Here is a 19,015-nt window from a genome sequence, read left to right on the forward strand (position 1 = left end):
CTTTCATGGCATCCTGAAGCAAAGAAGCTCAGATCCATCCCTCACCCAGCCACCTTGCTCTGCCCTGCTCAGACGATGCTTCCAGCACAAACCTTCCCTGAATTCGCAGGCTCTCATCCACTTTCACTATACAGAACTTAGCACGTGCTACCTTTCATTACTGGAGATCTTTTATGTGTTTATTGTGGGGCCACTGTGTGCCAGGCAGTGTGCTAGGCACTAGGGTCATCAGCAGCAATTGTCATTAAGGGAAAATGACCCCTGGTCATCAGCCCAAGGCACTAACCAATCCAAATGCACCGAGTGCCTTTATGGGGCAGAACACAGAGCCACCATCCTCAGAGTATTCCAGGCCAGGAAACAAAAGTGCAACACCCTCTTATGAGGGATAGAGTAGCACAAAACAGTGAGAAAGGTGAACATAGCCATCTCAGTGGAGGCAGGGAAGGGAAATCAGAGAAGACTTCATAGAAGAGGTATCAGGGGATGCATCCCAGGTAGAGCCTAAACTAAAGTTCTAGGAAAGAGGCTGGGGTAGGGGGAACAGGAAGAAGCCAGCTTGAGAGGATGGCCACCAGACTGCCACATGCAGCATTTGTGAAAAATGCAGAACTCTACAAGTTCCAAATTCTTTATAACCGCCATGGGATATACATGAATGTTTGGGAATTAATAAGCAGTAGGATCAGAGCCTTACATAAATACTCACAGTTTGGTAGTAGTAGGGATGCAGATAACCAATGATGGGAAAACTCTGGCAACTCAGAGAAAACCTAGCAGCTTGGGGATATGAAAGAGCTCGGTAGACGTACATTCTCTACCGACCATGATCCTCTTGGCCTGGCCTCTCATCTTTTGTTCCAGGTTAATAATCTCTCGGTTACTTTAGGAGACAGAGATTTCACATACGCTAAGTCAAGACTAATATTTTCATACACTCGCTTTCTATTTCCTCCATTTCCTGCAGGAAAGTATGTATCCTAGATATTTCTTCTATGTTATTATTTTTTCACACAACTTAATAAAACATCAGATATTGTTTTATCATTCACAAGAATCTTCACGTCTTTTTCATCTTGTCATGGGCAATGCAACCTTAAGTCGGGGCCTATCACATATATTTTTTTTTTTTTACAACCGAGGAAGTGAAGCAAGCTGGGACTCAGAAAGTAGTGTAGCAGCTAGCCCAAGGGCCATAGCTAGAATGCGCTGAAGCAAGGAATCACGCCCAAATTTGGAGCTCTTTCTGCTAAGCTACCCTGCAAAGGAAACAGATCTCCAGGGGGAAAAGCCTCGTTCCCATGAGCCCACCAGAGTCAAAGGAGCTGTTTGGGTGGCCTTATCCTTTGCAAAGTGGGAATCCAATTGGTCATAGGCAACAATTGCCATCAGGGGAAAATGACCCCTTCTAATCAGTCCAAGGCACTACCCAATCCACACGCACTGAGTGCTTTATGGGGCAGAATGCAGAGCCACCATCCTCAGAGTTTTCACAAACATTTTCTAAACTGTACTTTTTCTTTTAATGAGGCCAGCATTTTTATACATCTCTTAGGATTTGTAACTGTGAAAATACGCTCAATAATAACACCCATTTAAATTGCAAAACTCCTGCACTGGAGGTTTGATTTTTAAATATTCGTAGACTTGAAATCCTGCTGGTTCACTGAGGAAGGCAATTAATCTCATTGGCAAATGTGATCATTATGTGTATTTAGAGGTGGGGAGTTTTGGGGTGGGGGGCCAGTTAACAGAGGTAGAGGTAAAATATAGTCAAGCAGCTCCATTTGTTATAACATTATTAGTTATCAGCCACCACACCAGAAAGTGTGTTCACCAGTGGAATGTCTTATTTTTTTATTCCATTGGAATTTTTCAACATGAGTGCTTTATGAATAATTAAATATTATGGAGGCAAAAATTCAAATCAACTGGGCTTTGTGTTTATTGTTTTATTTGCATTTGTGCAGATAAAGCCGTCCCATCTGAGAGCATATTTGAGAATTTAATACTATGTTTGTGAGCACTGAGAAAATCAATTAATGGAAATTAAATGTTCAAAGTTTCACAGTCTGACAGATGCAATCTCAGGCTGAAGCGGCTGAGTGTCTGCACAGGCTTGGGGAGGAGAGCATTCCAAGCCCCTAAATTGAATTGCTACCATATAGCAATTAGTTTATTGATTTAATTAAGAATGCCATCTTTTAATTTTCAGGTCATGATCGAAACATTTTCTGACTGAATAAATGGGAGAACACTGAAATTATAGATCTCTATGAGAAACAATCTTTTGATAAATCAAAATCTAATGTGAAACTGATCCTAAACATTGACTTGTGAGTAGACAGACATAATATATGCAGATTATTTGGGGAGTTGTAAATGTTCAACAAACTGCTGATTCCAAACTAAGATGAAATGTGTAATTTTGTGGACCTTGAGCAGAAAAATTCACCCAGAAAGTAAAAGTCTGTAAGTACATTTTCAGAAATAACTTCTCTTACAGGGCAAGAATGATCTTTCCTCTTTCAAAGAACTAGAACAATCCATACTTTCACTATGAGACAGGGCATCATTTGCTGTATTTTTAGCCAAGACTCCTTAAGAAATCATGAATATTCTTTAATTTAATGGTACACCTATCTATCCTTCCACAAATATCTAAGAGTTTGGCCACATTTTACACATCAGAAGAGTCACTCGCAATGTCCAAGATGAACTTCAAAGTCAGAGCGAGATCAAGAGATTGTGAGAACACGGGTTATGACATTTTATAGATAAGGAGGCCAGTTCTCTGAGGTTCTTTAGAAGCAATATAAATGTACCAAAATGTTTTTGTAGGCAAACTTCTTTAAGGCAGAGACAAGGCACCAAAGAACGTTTTTTTATGTGTATATGGTTTTCTTTTCCTTTTTTTTAATCTTGCCAGATTTCTGGAAAAGTGTTTTGATTTGTTGTTGTTTTAAATATACACCAAACACAAACAAAGGGGAAAAATCCAAGCATTAAAAAATAAAGGAGTCATATGTGTGTTCACCAGAGGAATGTCTTATTTTTTTTTATTCCATTGGAATTTTTCAACATGAGTGCTTTATGAATAATTATGAAGGGAGAGAAGTTAGGTTTTAGACTATTGTTACTATGTTATACCACCACCACCACGTTATTATCTTTGCATCACTATGATTATTAGATTTACTAAATGTGCCTCTATCCATGTGTCCGGCATCAGGACAAGCTCACTGTATGCGCTATCTTCTCTATGTCTCACAACACTGGATGGGGTGGGTGCTAGTTCCTTCCCAATTTTACAGATGAGAAAATTGAGGCTTGGAGAGGAAATGAACTTGATTCCTTTTATGTAGCTAAAATAATCAGGTGAAACAAGACGAAACTAATAGATGTTTTGGGATTAAGTAGATGACAAATATGGTGTCCTCATTGTTTATGGGGGTTTTTTTGTTTGCTTTTTTTTTTTCTTTGAGACGGAGTCTTGCTCTGTCACCCAGGCACTGGAGTGCAGTGGCACAATCATGGCTCACTGTAACCTTGAACTCCTGGGCTCAAGCAAACCTCCTGCCTCAGTTTCCTGAGTAGCTGGTGGTAACTGGTAGAAGTGGGAGTTAGTAACTGGGAGAAGCAGGAGTCAACCCGTCTTCATCTAACTCAGAGCATGGGTTCCTGAAGCGACTTCATACAGCTGCTTTGGATGGTAGCAACATTCTGACTGTTAGGGAGACTTTGTAGGAAGGAAGGTGAGCACTGGAGAGCGGAGATTCCTGCTGGAGACGATGGTGCCTTTAGCACCATCACCCAGGGGAGTGCCTTACAGGAGGGAAAGATGGGGGGCCTCAGACCGAGAAGCCCTGCCCACTGGGCCACATGGCATGATGCCAAGTTCTTCTAGCGAAACGTGCAGGAACGCAGGATATGCATCTCTACTTACTGGCATAGGGGGAGTTGGCAGCTGAGCCGTTGAGGAAGGTGGGGGAGCCGCCCAAATTGGACATTGCGGCAGAGCCGTATCCGTTCATGCTCGTGGTGACGGAGTTATAGTTGGTCTGCTGGGGAGTGGTGCTCGGCACGTACCCGTGTGGTGATACGCTGCTTGAGTTGCGGGTGAAACCTGAGGGGCGGGGGCAAAACCGGAGGTGAGGGTGGCATTCAGATGGTGGCAATCCTGGAAGACTCGGGGAAAGGAAGGTCTCTGTTTCTGGCCCCGTCGCCGCAACCCAGAGGGAAGGGATTGGGTGATTCATGTGCGTGGGTTGGTGGTGCTAGCTCTGTGATTAAAATGGGAAGCGAGCAAAAGACACATTTCTTAGGAGATCATAAATACTTAGCAGGGCCGTGAGAAATGGCAATGCTGGGCCTATAAATTATCATTTTAGAGCAGAAATAAATCCCGATCTAAGAGATGTACCCTGGAGTTAACAGGTTCCTATTCCCTGGGCAAGAATGATGTGCTTTGGGCCCTCAAAACTTTAATTCCATCCCTCTCTGTGATCTGTCATTCATGGTTTATGGTGAAAAGTCAAATGTAGAGAGATGGCTAAATGCATGCATCCTTTCTAGCCCTCTATATTAGATTACCCGAATGATAGCTAGGACCAATATTGTACAATAATATCTTATACACATAAACTAAGAATCTCCCTTTTGGGATGAAAATAATTTTTTAATGTAAAAATTGTTCATGACCAATAAATGAGGAGATGGGGTGCTTAAGGTTGGGGAGGGAAGAGAAAAGCAAGCTTCTGACCCTGATTGGTGGCTTGTGATGCCTCGGAGACATTCACGGCCAGTTGTCCACTGAACGAATTCACGCCCATCATCCCTGCGTGGACCGAGGTGTTAGCAAGGGCCGGGAGTTGGTTGTGGTTGCGGGGAACACTGTACAGGGCCTCGGCAATGTCGGCCGCTCTCTTCAGAATGATTTCCTGAAAAGTCAAAGGAATATCCCCTTCAGCTGCCCCCAGTCATATTCCCAATAATACCATTTTTTCGGTGCCAGGTACCGTGCTCAGGGTTTTCAATGGTCAGCTGCATTAACTTCTGTGACCCTCATGACAAACCTGTTATATTAGTCTCACCATCATCATGCCTGTATCCGAAATGGGGAAACTGAGGCTCAGAAAGTCAAAAACCTCACCGAAGTACACTCACCTATTTAAGAACAGAGCTGAGATTCATAAGCCCATTTGTCTGACTTTGAAAGTCCATTATCTTAACTATACCTTCATACTACCCTACAGTCCATACAGGACAGCACCATGGGGTTTTCCATCCTTCCCAATAACATGTAGGAAGTCTGAGGTTACCCAGGGGGAGAGGAAGAGAGGCTGCAATTCACCTCCCCTATTGATGTTAAGGGAAGGCTGTAGATGACTACCTGCATTACTGAGTATTAATGGGACTGTGTCCCCCAGACATTGACTCAGGCTACATGAAAAAGGAGTGAATGGTTTGTCAGACTCAGTTTCCTAAGCTATGTGAATCTTATACATGGAGTTCTATGAAACAGAAGCAGACAATACTATTCAGGCCTTGCTATACTTTTTGGAGAAAAAATTAAACCCTCTTTCTCTTCCTAAATTTGCTTGAAAACCTGAGAGAAATAAAATAAAGCACCAGTAACTCTCCTCTTCAATTAGGAAGTATGTTCCCACTAAAGATTAGTTTTAAATGGAGTACCTTTTCTCATACAGAAAATGATTCAGTGGAAAGGGCAATAAAAGGTTTACAAAAGAGGATTGAATCATCTTGCAACATGTTATATCTGAATTACTTATACTCTTAACTCATGCACATGGCTTTTATATTGTTTGTGCTTTCTCATTACGATGAGGAATCTGAGATCTTTAATTGCATGTGGCAGTCCACACAGGCTAGACACCCACAGCGCTCACCTGGTTGTTGTGTGGCATCCCATACAGTGCTTCTACCAGATCCGCAGCCCTTTTGAGTATTACTTCCTGTCAAGAGAAAAGCAGATACAATCCTTTGAGTGAAGGCAGGTTGTCGTTATCTTTTGACATGATCACATTCCAGTCCCTCTGGCCATACTTTGCCAAGGCACTGCTATAAAGGCCGTAGCTTGGGGAACCCCAGAAGGGTGTTAAATCACCAATTTATCCCTGTTCACATACACACTTAATTGAGTCAAAAGGTGAGCATCATTGGTACTGCGAGATAAAATACATCACTCAATAGTCTGCCATAGGCATGATAAAGCACTCATATGTTTATTGCTGAATACAATTCCTAGGTCATTTACTAGATTACTACAATTGATGTCATTCAGTCGTGGTATGAATCCCTAAGATGTGTTTATTTTGCACTTAATTGCTTATTCCAGTAACCATGACCTTATCAGACAGGTCATTTTCGAGGGATTTCCAATCAATCTTCAGCTACTAGAAGCATGTAGTATTAAACTTCTTTTGTTTATCTCTCTTGGATGGTAGAGACATAATATAAGAGGGTGATGTAGGAAACCCACATACTGAGGCAATGCACTGTTTGTCAAAAACTCTTATGAAAGGACTCTACTGTCCTCAGAGGCCCCCTCTGCACCAATTTTCATTACTGGCAGTATCTATTTCTTTAATAGCAATTATTTGCTATTTCAGTATTGTGTGATTTCCCCCATTTGCTCATTCATTCTCATCCTAGATAGATGCTTGGCTACTCATTCCAGTTGAAGGAAAAATATCTCCCTCTTTTTACTTAGGTGGACCTCCATATTTAGCCTGCATGCTTGGTTCTAATAATAGGGAGTACTCTACAAAGTGAGTGTGGTGCTAATATTTTTGGTTCTAACTAAAAGAAATCTCTCTCTTCATTTTTCCCTAATTTTCTTCAGATTCATTTCCACTAGAATGTGAAAAGAAAAGCAAAGTTAAGCTTGATGCATGTAAAAGGTAGGGGCTTGTCAGAGAACCAAACGTAAGGGTGTGGTAGGATCATCAGAGGTGATTTGCATGAAGATATGTTTACCATTTTTGACTGTGGGTAAAGTTTCAAACAGAAGTGTAACTTTAAATATTTTACACAATAGATTTCTACATGGAGAAGCAGTGCTGTTCAATTTTCACAGACTGCAGTCGCTGATCAGAAAATAGGGAGATAATCGCATTCATTTTGCTGTCATCATAGCCTCTTCAAAAATCCTTGAACAACTCTTGAAATGACAAGCTTTTAGATACATATTAGCATTTTTCAATTTTAAATTCTCTATAATATAAGATAAAGTAGTTGTCATACTACAGTAACTACTTATGACATATCTAATGTCCTAAATTCAAAAATAAGATAGTGGGGTTTTCAGTTCTCAATAAACATTTATGCTTGCCTTAAGCTGATAGACCCCCTTTATAAAACAGTTTAGTTATTTTTCATGTAGGGAGTAAAGAACATTATATAATCAAAGGGATTTGAACCAATACATCTGAAATCATTTCTTTATTTTTTAATGTAAGCTACAAGCTAATTTACCACTTTTTGTTTGCTGTAGTAGTGTCTGACCACAGCAGTTAATAATTTACTATTGTACGGGCACACTAAACCCTATCCCCAGATCAAATTCAGCCTGTGTTGCCTTCACTAAAACCTCTTGGCTTTATCTGGCTCTTAGGAAAGATGAAAACAAAAAACAGGATCAAGTGAGTTTATTTACTAAGATTAGACTTCTCTAGGCCTATGTTCATTTATTTCTCCAAATAAATATTTATGCCAGTGTTGGGGCTTGGCAGGGAACGTATTTTCCTTTCTTTCCATTTTAGGGGGGAAAAAGGCAAGTCTCCCGTTTGTCAAAAGCGTGATGAGGCACAGAAAGAAACTGCACTTGTGAACTTCACTCTTGTAACACTATAATTGAGGACTTAGAGCAGTGTACCTTATTTTAATTAATTTCACAGAAGCAGGGAGGAGGGAAGTTCAAAATTAAACTCCAAGATCTTTGAAGTTTTCATAAGCCTGAAAACATACCATCTATCAGTATATATTATATATCCTTGGTGATAGAGTTTTTCAATGACAAAATCTACTTTTTTTTTTCTCCTTATGTCGATATCCAGAGCTCTCATCCCCATTTAATCCTTTGAGAATAAAACACGTGGATCTTGTTTCCTAAAGGAGCATCCTTCTTTGATCCATGATGCTGCCTTCTTTGATCCACCATGCTGGGGCATGTTTTCCCATTGAGTACATTGCCATAGGTAGGTCATCAGTACAGCATCACTTCAGGCCAGCAGTCTTGGATTTGAGGAGTGTGAACCTGGATTTCTTGTCTTGAAAGGGACACCCTTAAATAATATCTTACCCATTAAAAAATATCCTTCACTGTAGTATCAACTTGTAAGGACTTAAGAAAGACTTGGTTGAGCTTTGCCCATGTGATTTGGCTTCTATTAGGTATTTCTGCAAATGGGAAGGAGAAAGGAAATTTCTGGGTCCTCCATGAGTTAGTGCAATGGACCTGCAAACTGCTTGGATTTCGGTGACCAGAAAATTGCTCTCACCTCCATGTCATTACGCTCCCAGTGAACTAGCCCCCAGGCGTGTTTGTGTTGGGGATCTAATATATTGCCTTTCAATCAGAGCTGAGAGCCACTGAACACACAGACAGAACATGACGAGCAGGTCAGGAAAGCAATAAAGATTTTACAGAGCTGTCCAAGGTGCTAAATTTACTCAATAATGGGTTTGGCACCATAGTGTTAACCTCTCATTTACTACCAGTTTGAGGGACTAAATTGAAGTAGCTGACTTCATTTACCTTGAAATGTATATTTTATGACATTATGTAAGTAGATTGAAAGGGCACTGCAGTTTTAACAATTTAAAGGCTAAAGCATGTTTAAGATGAAACTTGAATATTTATTGTATATTGCACTTAAAGTATATAGAATGTTAAAATGTATTGATTAAATTTGTAAAAGGCATTATAAAAATGACAGGTAGTATAAAAGATGTATGCCTTTTAAAATCAAATTGATAGTGTATGCCATCTCTTCTGTGGTCACAAGTGTAATTTTTTTGCAGTTTTATATGGTAATTTGAAAAATCTGTAATTTCACATTAGGAAATGATTGAGCCTTGGATGTTAAAAAAAGAAATTTCCCATAAGGGGAAGAGCTGGATGTTTCATATAATCTTTTGTCTCTAAAATTGTTCTTAAATTCTTATTTTTTGTGGCATTAGGCAGGAGCACAGTCTAAGGATCTTTCATTTTAATATGCAATTTTAATATTTCTGAAAAGAAAGAGCACTTGACTAGTACTAATATCTAATGTTTCAAGGCATTTATTTGTCAGGGGAGATTTTCTCTTCTTTTCATAATGTTTAAAACGTCTCCCTGCTTGCAATTTCAAACATAAGAGTGGATATTAGACAATTCCAAGATAATTAATCCTATCCTTGGATTTTTTTTTTTTAAAAATCCCTTTTGGGAATTAAAGACAAATACTAGTATCCTAAATATTGAAAAGCCCCAGAGTCTCCTTGTAGAGGTAATGTTTGTTCTCCAATCTACATTCTGAGTCAGACAATTTTTCTGCTCATGGCCTTGGATTTCTTCTCTCTTAAAGATACAAAAAAGCTTTACTCCTTAAAAACAACAACTACTTTTCACTGATTGATTTCATCTCACTATCAAAACGTGGCTTCACCTGTCTTGCTATGACCATAGGTTGATGGTTATGTGAGTGGGGTTCTATGGAGAAAAATGTGGATGCATTATTCTTACTCTATTTAGAGTCTACAGAAATGTTAGGGAGACCGAAGGAGGAATGGGGTTCCAAGAAACAGTTCAAATGTAGCTGGCATGGGTTTTACTTATATTTTGGAAGCTTTATAATAAAAATGCTGAATGGGCTACAAATATAAAGGGAAGATTCAGCTTTACTTTCTACTTTGCAACCCAATTAGCAAATATTGTTTGAGCTTCTTGTTGCCCTTGTCTGTCATCATATGTGGATCTTATTCTCCAGCAACTTTCAGGGCACATTATCTTCCCAGCATCGACCTACAAAGTTTGATGAGAGTCACAAAAGATTGTCGCCATCACTTGGTCCTACCATCTTTGTCCAGTCATCTCTCCCTATGTATTTGAAGAACTGCTCTCTATGCTTGTCCTCCCCAGCCTAGAAGTAAAACATTTGGCTCCTTTCTATCTCCATACCTTCACTCCTTTTGCCTTCCCCTTTTTTTGGAGGGAATGCTGGCTTCAATCTGTGCCCATGGACAATGCCTCTCTCCATCCTCTGAAGCCTCGTACTGAAGGGGATCGTGATGGTATGGTAATGAAGGAGATCACTCTCATTTATTGAAAGTGGAGCAAGAACTCATTCAACCTTCATAGAAAGCCTCTTAAGGTATTCTTTCTATTACTATCTGGCAGATGAGGAAACTGACACTCAGAGAGGTCAGCTAACTTTCCCAAAGTTTCCACCGCTGACTAGTGGCTGAGCATGGATTCAACCCCAGGCCTGTTAGACATCAGAGCCTGGCTCTTGAAAATCACACTGTTCTATCAGAAATAATTCCACCTTCACTGATACCCCAGCTCCTAATATCTCTATTTCCTCTGAAAAAGAGTGCTGACCATCTGTGTCACCCAGCACAGCACAGAAGTATATACTGAGAGGTCATTCTGCTCTGATCTGAAGTGTGTTAGTCATCATTCTCCATAGCTAGACTGCAGACTTTTTGAGGCCAGTGATAGGTTCTTAATCTCCTTATCTAAGCTCCTACCATAATGTTTAGCAAACCACAAGTCTTGAGAAATTCATGTTGATGTGTTATTCTAAGATACAGTTACTGATTTTTAAAAGTACACACTTAATTTGTATGATGAAATGACAAAGTCATATTTGGCATGGTTTATAAAAGTAGAAGACTTAAATTTGGTGTTCCATTTAGCTACAGACTCTTAAATCCAATATATAAATTCCCAAAGGTCAAGTTTTGATCACTGTGAGTTTTTTTATGTCACTTTTTTATGAATTTGCTCTTTCATTCCTGCTGGCTTGGACTTACATTTTAATTTTGTGATTAATACAATGAATCATGTCTAGTACAGACATTATCTCAAGTTATAGGCTGCTAGCAACATGAGGTTGGTCCTTATGGTCCTCAGCCTTTTATTAGCTGTACTCTTAGGCCCTTGGAAATAGTTAGGTATTTGCACATTCATAGAAAGACACATTGGGAACCAGGCATATCATGACAAATATGCAGACATAGTTAACTCATCTTCTATTTTATGAGTTAAAAATCTTAGGATTATTCACCATCTGTGGGAGTCCTTCTCTTTAGCCTTTGACCTGAAATCTATAGCTAATAAGCTCAAGTTCACTGGCCACATCTAGCCTCCTAGAGTGAAGGGAAAGGTTGTCTAACTGGCCAATACTGGGCCCATTTATAAACCCAGTTCAATGTTTTGGGCAACTCAACCCCAGATGAGCAGGGAAGATAGTCTGAACTTTCTTTTGTTCATAGCACATATAGGCTGATGATCATAAAGCTGATAGATACCCATACACGAACACAACATTAATTTTCATGTTTCAGCATTAGATTTTGAGACTCTGGGAACTCCGCCCATAAAATTAAAGCCCAGGGATGCTTCAGTAATTTCAGAGGATAATCTGTGCTTGGCTTTATGCTTACCCAAATAGGAAATGTTTTCAGGAATGTAGATTGAAACAGAAAAAAAAAACTACAAGCATCCATAATCAAAGTCAAGTTGAGTTGGGTGATTTCTGAGAAAGAAGCACAATACTTCCCTGTCACTGCACATTTCCCTGATACCCATTTATCACCAATCTACTTTGCTTTATCAGGGGATTCAAAATATAGTGGCCAAATATCAGCAACACACAATGAAGTGAAATGAGAAAATCACTCTTGATGTAGAGATGATAAGCACCTATCAATGAAATCAGCATTGATTTCACTGCCTTCCTTCGTATAGGGTTTACTGCAGGACCCAGATTTTGATGTGTGCATTCAGCTCCTAGACTTTAAGTCCTGGATCTTTCCCCACTGACTTCTGAAAGCCTGGGTGACATTACTGATTGGAAAGGCCGAATGCTGAGAAATTGATTGGAAGTTTCTTGCAGCCCATTTCCTGCAGAGCTGGATGTACAATGCAATAAATACTAGTTGTCCTGAGATGTATTTCTTTGGAGGGTAGTTTTATATCCCAGCTTCCTTTGTGTTTATTCAGCCAAATGGAAAATTCCACAATGGTAGACTTTGCATTCTAAAAAATCAGTATAATGAGGGCAGTGAGGGAAAGAGTAAAACAAACCAAAATAACACTTGGGCACCGTTTAGTTTCCCATCCTCTGAGACATTCCTCAAATTTTTCATTTTTCTTGTAATATAAACTTCTTGAAATAGAGCTTAGTGCAGATCATTAGAAGCCTTTAGTGTCACACTTTAAACACTCTTTCCTTAGAAGCCCTATGACTGAGAAGAGTCACTTACATTTAGCATGGATATAATTAAACATGTTTCTGTTGAAAGGGGCATTCTCATTATAGCTAAGGACCACTTTAGAGTAAATTGAAATGGAAAGGAGGAACATAAATGAGGTATAGGTAGCAAGTAGTTATTTGCAGGGAGGCATAAAATGCCAAATGTATAACAATTATATTTTACAACCCCACATTCTAAAGACTTCATAGTATTTTAGTATATAAGAAGATTCAGCTGAAGCTTAGATTGCCCTACAGAACATTCTAGCTAGCGCATACTTTTTGCCCAGAGTCTTTTTAAAAACTGAAATTCAAACCACAGTAAAAATCTCTAGACATTTCCAGAACAAAGGAATTAAATATTTTGAAAGAGTCTACTGCTATTAATACCAAAGGCCAAGGCACCAAAAACATTCTAGTCTAGAGAAAATGCAGCAGGAGGACCTCTTCTGAACCTCCTCTGATTTTAAAGTTGATTTTATGTTCAGATTAGATGACAGCCCTCTTACTTCTCAAACATATTATTATGAACCAGCATGCGGCATGGTTGGAGGTAAACCAGAAAGCCTTGCCTTTGTTAAAAACATGGTATAGGAGACTCTGAATCATATGAAATTAAACTAGGTTGTAAGCTAACGCGGCTATATCAACGTAAGACATACTAACTTACGTGATTGACTTTTACAATGGAAAGAAAGGCTGTTTTCAAGCAACTGTTATTGCCACAATGGAAAAAAAAAATCAATGAAAGTGAAATGAACAAGAGATTTTGTCTGAGTTGCAGTTAATACCACTGAGGAGCTATGGATATTAAAAGGTCAACAAATAAATTAGCCAGAGTGTTATGAAATAAATGATTTGGCTCATAATTTTATTGAGTGAAAATTGTTCGCTGCCTATTAGACCAGGTAATTTTTATCTGGTGCCTCAATTACTGTCCCGTAAGCAATAATATAGTTGTAAGAGCTGTTGGTTCGATCGTGTGACCTCTGAGAAGCTGGCTAGGACAGCTGACTTTACTATGATGGATAACTAAGCTTGGGCTCCATGAGGTGCCAAGCTTCCCTTTCCTGCAAGGGGATCTCATAAAAGAAACATTACAGCTTGATTCATTTTACCAAAATGTTCGACTTTTCAAGTGTCAGCAGTTAAGTATAAATTGTGAAACCAGGTATTTCTGAGAAGAGTTATGACAATGGCTTTCCCCTCCCTTTTTTTTTTTTATTTGGTCTCCTGGCATTTTCTTCTAAATGGTGTCATGGTAATTGGTGAATGGGAGCCTGGGGTGCTTCCCGCCACAGATACAGTGAAAAATGGTGTCTGCACCCTTGTTGACTATGACCTGCTTGGAGGTACAGAGCTGAACTTGGTAACCTCTGGCGGGATCTTCTTATTCCAATTCATTGTACTGGTTTAAGACCAACGCTGTGGGTTAGGTCCTGCTGAGTGCCTTGGAAATCGACTTTCTGATCAGGATAAAAGTCTCTGCTTAAAGAGAAAGCTCTGGACAGAGATGCCTTTTTCAGGGGTAGGTTGTAAAGTCAGCACATGAAACAAAAACGGCCTAGAGTCAAAATTACCCTTGAAAATCTTTTAAGTCACCTTTAAGTCGCCAAGGCCTGGGCTTTTAGAAAACACAAAAAGCCAAAAATTAACTACTTCTGTTTCTCTTTGTCTTTTGGCTGTGGCTTCTTTCCCTCAGCCAAGGCTGAATAAATACCGAGCTTAAAAGTAGAGGGACTGCTCAGTAAACAAAGAGATGTATTTGTCATGTACACATACGTGGATGTGTTTGTATGTTTGGTGTGTGTGTATACAAATGCACGTGCATATTTATATTTTTGGACGTATACTATAGGGAAACTTGAGTGACACGTTCCCATACTATATAGATACATAAGGGAGGCAAAAATATAATTTGCTTTTGCTTCTTCAACTGTTGAGCATGAACATCATCGGTTATCATATGTATCTCCAGACAAACGATATCTGTAAATGATAATTCTCAAGCCTTTACAGATGGTCCTGAGTATAACTGCAATTAAAATCCACTGCTTCAAGACTGTTGGGGCTTGGTACTTATTACTCTAATGCTCCACTGAAGTGTTACTCAGGGCTGAAAATAGTGAGCAAGGCTTAAGACCTCCAAGCATCTCCATTCCTAAGGGCTTCAGTCTTTAAGGGGAGGATGTTGGGTGGCTGGAGGTAGAAATGAGTTTGCCTCTTGGTTCTCCTGTCACCTACCCTTGAACTAATGAGTAATTATGTTCAATGCCCCTGTATGCAGGGTATGATATGAAGTAAGTTACCCTTAGTCCTCCCCATCAAGAACTCAGTGCTAAAAAGGAACTCGAAAGAGTTCCAGCACTGAGCTATTGGATAACGGTTACTGCAAGTCCCTCCCACAATGACTCTGCAGCTAAAGAGGGAAAGCATGGTACCCAGGGTTTGTCTGCATTTACATGTGAATTCTTCCTGCCGCTTCCACCTAGCTCAGCCCTTTGTGAGCTAACCTCAGGTCTAGGCCACCACTTGCCTCCTTCCCTAACCAGGCTGGAAGGGTTTTAAGACTGATTTTGTAAATTGGCTTTTTTTCTTAAAATCTCTTAATTCTGGGAGGCACTGCTTAGGGGATATAGGCTCTGGATCTGGAGTCCAATAGACTTGGCTCAAATCCATGTTCTGCGATGTATTAGCAGCGTAAACACATGCCTCTGTGTCCTCATCTGTAAAACAGAGTTAATACCAACACCTGGTTTAGTAGATTATATTTAGTTAGTGCTTATCAGGCAATAACCAGCAATATTATTAATAATCCCCATTTATTTTCCAAGGAACTCTGGCAAAATATATGCATTCTTACAGTCAATGTGTATTGCGTGCCTTGAGTGCTATGTTTGAGATATAATCCTATTTTCAAAACTCTATAAAAGACTCTAAATGGATTACTGGTTAGGAAGTATGGGAAGTTAGGAAACCTCCACTTACTAGCTGCATAAGCTTGAGAAGGTTACTTGTCCTGTATAAATCTCAGTTTCCTCATCTCTAAATTGGGAAGGAAACAATAATGACAAGCAGAAGCATTTGCCGCAAAATAAGTCAGCTAAAGATAAATAACTTAAAGAGGTGAGAATTACAACTTTCATGGGGGTCATCGGCCTTTTTACTGAGGCTACAACTTCTTTCCCCAGATAAATTACATGTGCAGGCATTTGTGTGTGCATGTTCATAACGCACACATGCACGCACACACACACAGGAATTCTAAATGCAATTTCAGGGGTACACAGATCCAGGCTAAACTCCCTGGATAAAAAGAAATATAAGTAGTAGTGGATACCAAGCCCCTAGACTGAGCATATTATCAAATGGGGAAATGGAATCTGCCTGTAAGTTTTCTGGTAGATACAGGAGAGAGTGGGGGAAATGGACAGCATTCCATAGCTTGTGTTTTTGACAAGAGAATGCAGAGATGTTTCCTGGAATCAAACTCAGGCATGTTTTTTCTAAGAGCTGAATATACCATAAGATTTGCCATTTGTTTCTGTGTTTTCGTCTGAGGAGGGTCACTTTCATTTCAGGATATAATGTTAATCGAGTTTCCTCAAATTAAAAAAGTAAATACACGAGAAAGAGAAAGAGAGATAGTGAGAGTGAGAGAGAGGCTAGTGTCAGTGTGGAAGATGAAGATGTTAAGTCGTTCTTCATCCTTTGCTGAAACCCTTAGTCATCTCCCTTTCTGCTAGGAGGCAACGTGGTTATGCAAAGATATCTTATTTGTATTTTCACTGATGCAACTGCAGGTTTTGAATTACTGATAGTCTTTGCATAAAGACTAAAACAATAAAAGCATAATTAGAATACATTGTATACAGCCAACTCCAGTTTTATTTTGCCCCAGCTCTGTATTTATGATAAATCACTAAACATGAATGCTCTTTAGGGAGGGTGATTTTAGGTCTCGTCTCTCCACTGAGCAAAAACAGTGCCTGTGACTGGAGTCTGAATTTCAATTTTGCAAGTGTACAGTTGAAGTGAATAATATTTGGCACAATGCAGTGCACAACTGAGCCACTAAATGGCTGATTTACTAAATTATTATTAGATGAGCCCTTGCTGTTCCAAATGAAAGTGCAGTCACTGTCTTCCTTCATGGTGTGTTCAAATTGTTCTGTGTTTAAATATTCAGCATGAGGCTAATGTGAACTGATGAACTGAGACTATAAACATTCACTTTCAATATAGATAGAGCGACAGAGATGCAACATATCATGTGGCCAGCAGAGGTGAAAATGATTTATATTTAAGGATGTTGCTGCCTACTTCCATTACTTTAAGGTACTCTTAATTAGCCTGGTGTTTGAAATGACTAATTCACATGTACAGGGAGAGCCACTTCATAGAGACTGAGATTTTCGAATGCCAGTGAAGGAGAAGCTACCGTGAGGATTTGCTACCTCTGTATTTCCAAGGAAGCCTTGAGTTCCTTCACGGCAGGCTGGCCACACAGCACCACCAGAGTAGCATGTCTGCCAGAGATACTATGGTGCTTGACATTCAATGTGCTTTTGGAGACCCACCAAAAGGGTCCACAACCCCTCCTTCCCACCATCCACCCCACTGGTGTTCACCTCCCTTATAATTCCAACCTACTGCACAGCCAGCCACACTGGTACTTCAATCCCCATGTCACTGACTTCTTTACTGACACCTGCTGGAATGAACAACAACTTTTTGCTCCTTGGACAAATAGAACCCTCCTCTCTCTTCCCCTTTGAGGGCAGTTATAGGCAAGCACTTAAAATACTGTGATCACTTACAGTAGATTAGAATTTTTTATTGGTGCTGTGTTGCCATAACAACATGAAGACAGCAGATGACTTAAGCTAAGCTTGCAAAGCAAAAGGCTGCTCATCTGGCAGTTAAAATGAATGCAGTTCATTTCACAAGTTTCCCATATGGACTCTTAGTGTATGGTAATGAGGAGACCATATGGTGAGAGAAAATGCACTGAGAACAATTGGGTTCCACTGGCTGAGTGGGAAGTTGGGAGAGAAAACCCGGGTGAGAGATTCCGGTGTGCTCTCTGGGTTCAAGGTTTGGCGGAGGTTTGTTTGGGATGGTTGTTTTCCATAGGGGTTTCACGTTTCTTAATCCGTTCCTTAATATGTCGGCTGTGTGAAATGACAAACATCTTGCAAATTTTGCAATATCATTCATCACAAACTGTCAGCAGTGTTTGCAAATCTGACTTGCAAGATCTTTTAAATGTGTTGTTCTTAAAAGGCAACAGTACTAAGTTTTTAGACAAAGTGCAGGAAAATTTAAGCACTTCTGACAAGCAGAAACATTAACAGTAATCATTTTAAAAACACTCGCATCTTTTGCCTGCATGTTTAGCTGTAAATAATGCTCGAATGTATAAAAGCTTTAAAGTAAAAATGTAATAAATACTTTTTTTATGTTTCATAAAGGATAAAAAATGCTTTGAGCCATGTCTACGTGTTATCTATACCTACCAACATAGAGATGGATAGCTCCCATTCTCCTTACTACTAACCAGATTGGGGACCTAGGAGGACAGCTTGAAAAAGGCTCTGAAGTCAATTCTGTACTATACATGCTTCATAAAAGATGAATATAAATGCATTAGTTAGACACGGTGAGCTAAATTAGAAGGTCAGGCAGGGCTGGGAGGGCTGAAAAATCACACAACCAATGAGTGTAATTACTCTTTTTTAAGTCTATTAAGTGGTGGTGTTCTATCAAGGCTCAGGGGTATAGGACATGAAGAACAAGATAAAGTAATGTGTATTTATTACTCCCACTGGATCAATTTACCAGATATTTTCAGCTCCATAAAGCAAAATACACAAATGCAGCCTTTGTTACTTTTCCCAAACTGCTTTATTTTCTCTAAAAGAGGGGCTGGCTCTTGGAGAAAAGACATTGGCCCTGAGAAGGTCCCCAGGCCAAGCCTTCTCAGTAGGGAAATGAGAGAAAGCTGGTGAGAATCTACATAAGGATGGGGGCCAGGTGTCAGGTGTCTGCAGAGGAGACACCTCAAGGCAGGAGAAGTGGGAACTCAACATAGTGACGGCAGTGAGGCTACCGACCCTGAGGGCCTGAGTTTGAATGAATGGTAGTTTTCCCGCGTGCTAGCTGTGATGTCGTAGCAAGTCACTCAGATCTCTGGGGACTCTAACTTCTCATCTGTAAAATGGGGAACACCCACAGTGCAGGGATTAGTGGCCCCCATTTACTGGAGTCTTGCTAGATGCCAGGGATGCCTCTTGGCATAAATTATCTCATTAACACCTGACAACAATGCCGTGAGGCAGCTGCTTTACAGAGGAGAAACCTGAAGCATGGGAGGTTGAGTCATGTGTACCAAGTAGGGGATCATGTTTCCAAAACGCACATCCTTCTGACTTGAGAGCCCACTCTCTTGGCCTCTATGATCTTCGAAAACCTTAATAATGCAGTGCTGGGCTCACAGTAGGCATGAAGTAAACATTCCTTGCTTCCTA

General features: G+C 39.9%; 1 protein-coding gene across 25 annotated transcripts in view, besides 2 other annotated features; it reads right to left on the minus strand.

The window, feature by feature from the left end:
* The window catches only part of EBF1 (EBF transcription factor 1), a 403,997-nt gene that overhangs the window by 12,288 nt on the left and 372,694 nt on the right, over positions 1-19,015 (minus strand). For 23 of the 25 annotated variants that reach the window (NM_182708.3, NM_001324108.2, NM_001324106.2 and 20 more), the window contains 3 exons: positions 5,910-5,975; positions 4,763-4,940; positions 3,947-4,126 (listed from right to left, as the gene is read on the minus strand). In NM_182708.3, the coding sequence (NP_874367.1) occupies positions 3,947-4,126; positions 4,763-4,940; positions 5,910-5,975 (424 nt within the window). The remainder of the gene's footprint in view (positions 1-3,946; positions 4,127-4,762; positions 4,941-5,909; positions 5,976-19,015) is intronic. The other 2 variants (NM_001324109.2, NM_001364155.2) reach the window with 1 other exon arrangement.
* Positions 4,030-4,530: an enhancer, noted in NCBI's record as "H3K4me1 hESC enhancer chr5:158139245-158139745 (GRCh37/hg19 assembly coordinates)". NCBI's record gives its function as "activates a minimal SCP1, AML or CMV promoter by ChIP-STARR-seq in primed H9 embryonic stem cells {active_cell/tissue: H9 hESC(primed)}" and the evidence as "EXISTENCE:reporter gene assay evidence [ECO:0000049][PMID:30033119]".
* Positions 8,209-9,510: an enhancer, noted in NCBI's record as "VISTA enhancer hs813". NCBI's record gives its function as "enhancer in: midbrain (mesencephalon)[3/9]" and the evidence as "EXISTENCE:transgenic organism evidence [ECO:0001131][PMID:17130149]".

This window comes from Homo sapiens, chromosome 5 (genome assembly GCF_000001405.40).
Source record: "Homo sapiens chromosome 5, GRCh38.p14 Primary Assembly".
Lineage (NCBI taxonomy): Eukaryota > Metazoa > Chordata > Mammalia > Primates > Hominidae > Homo > Homo sapiens.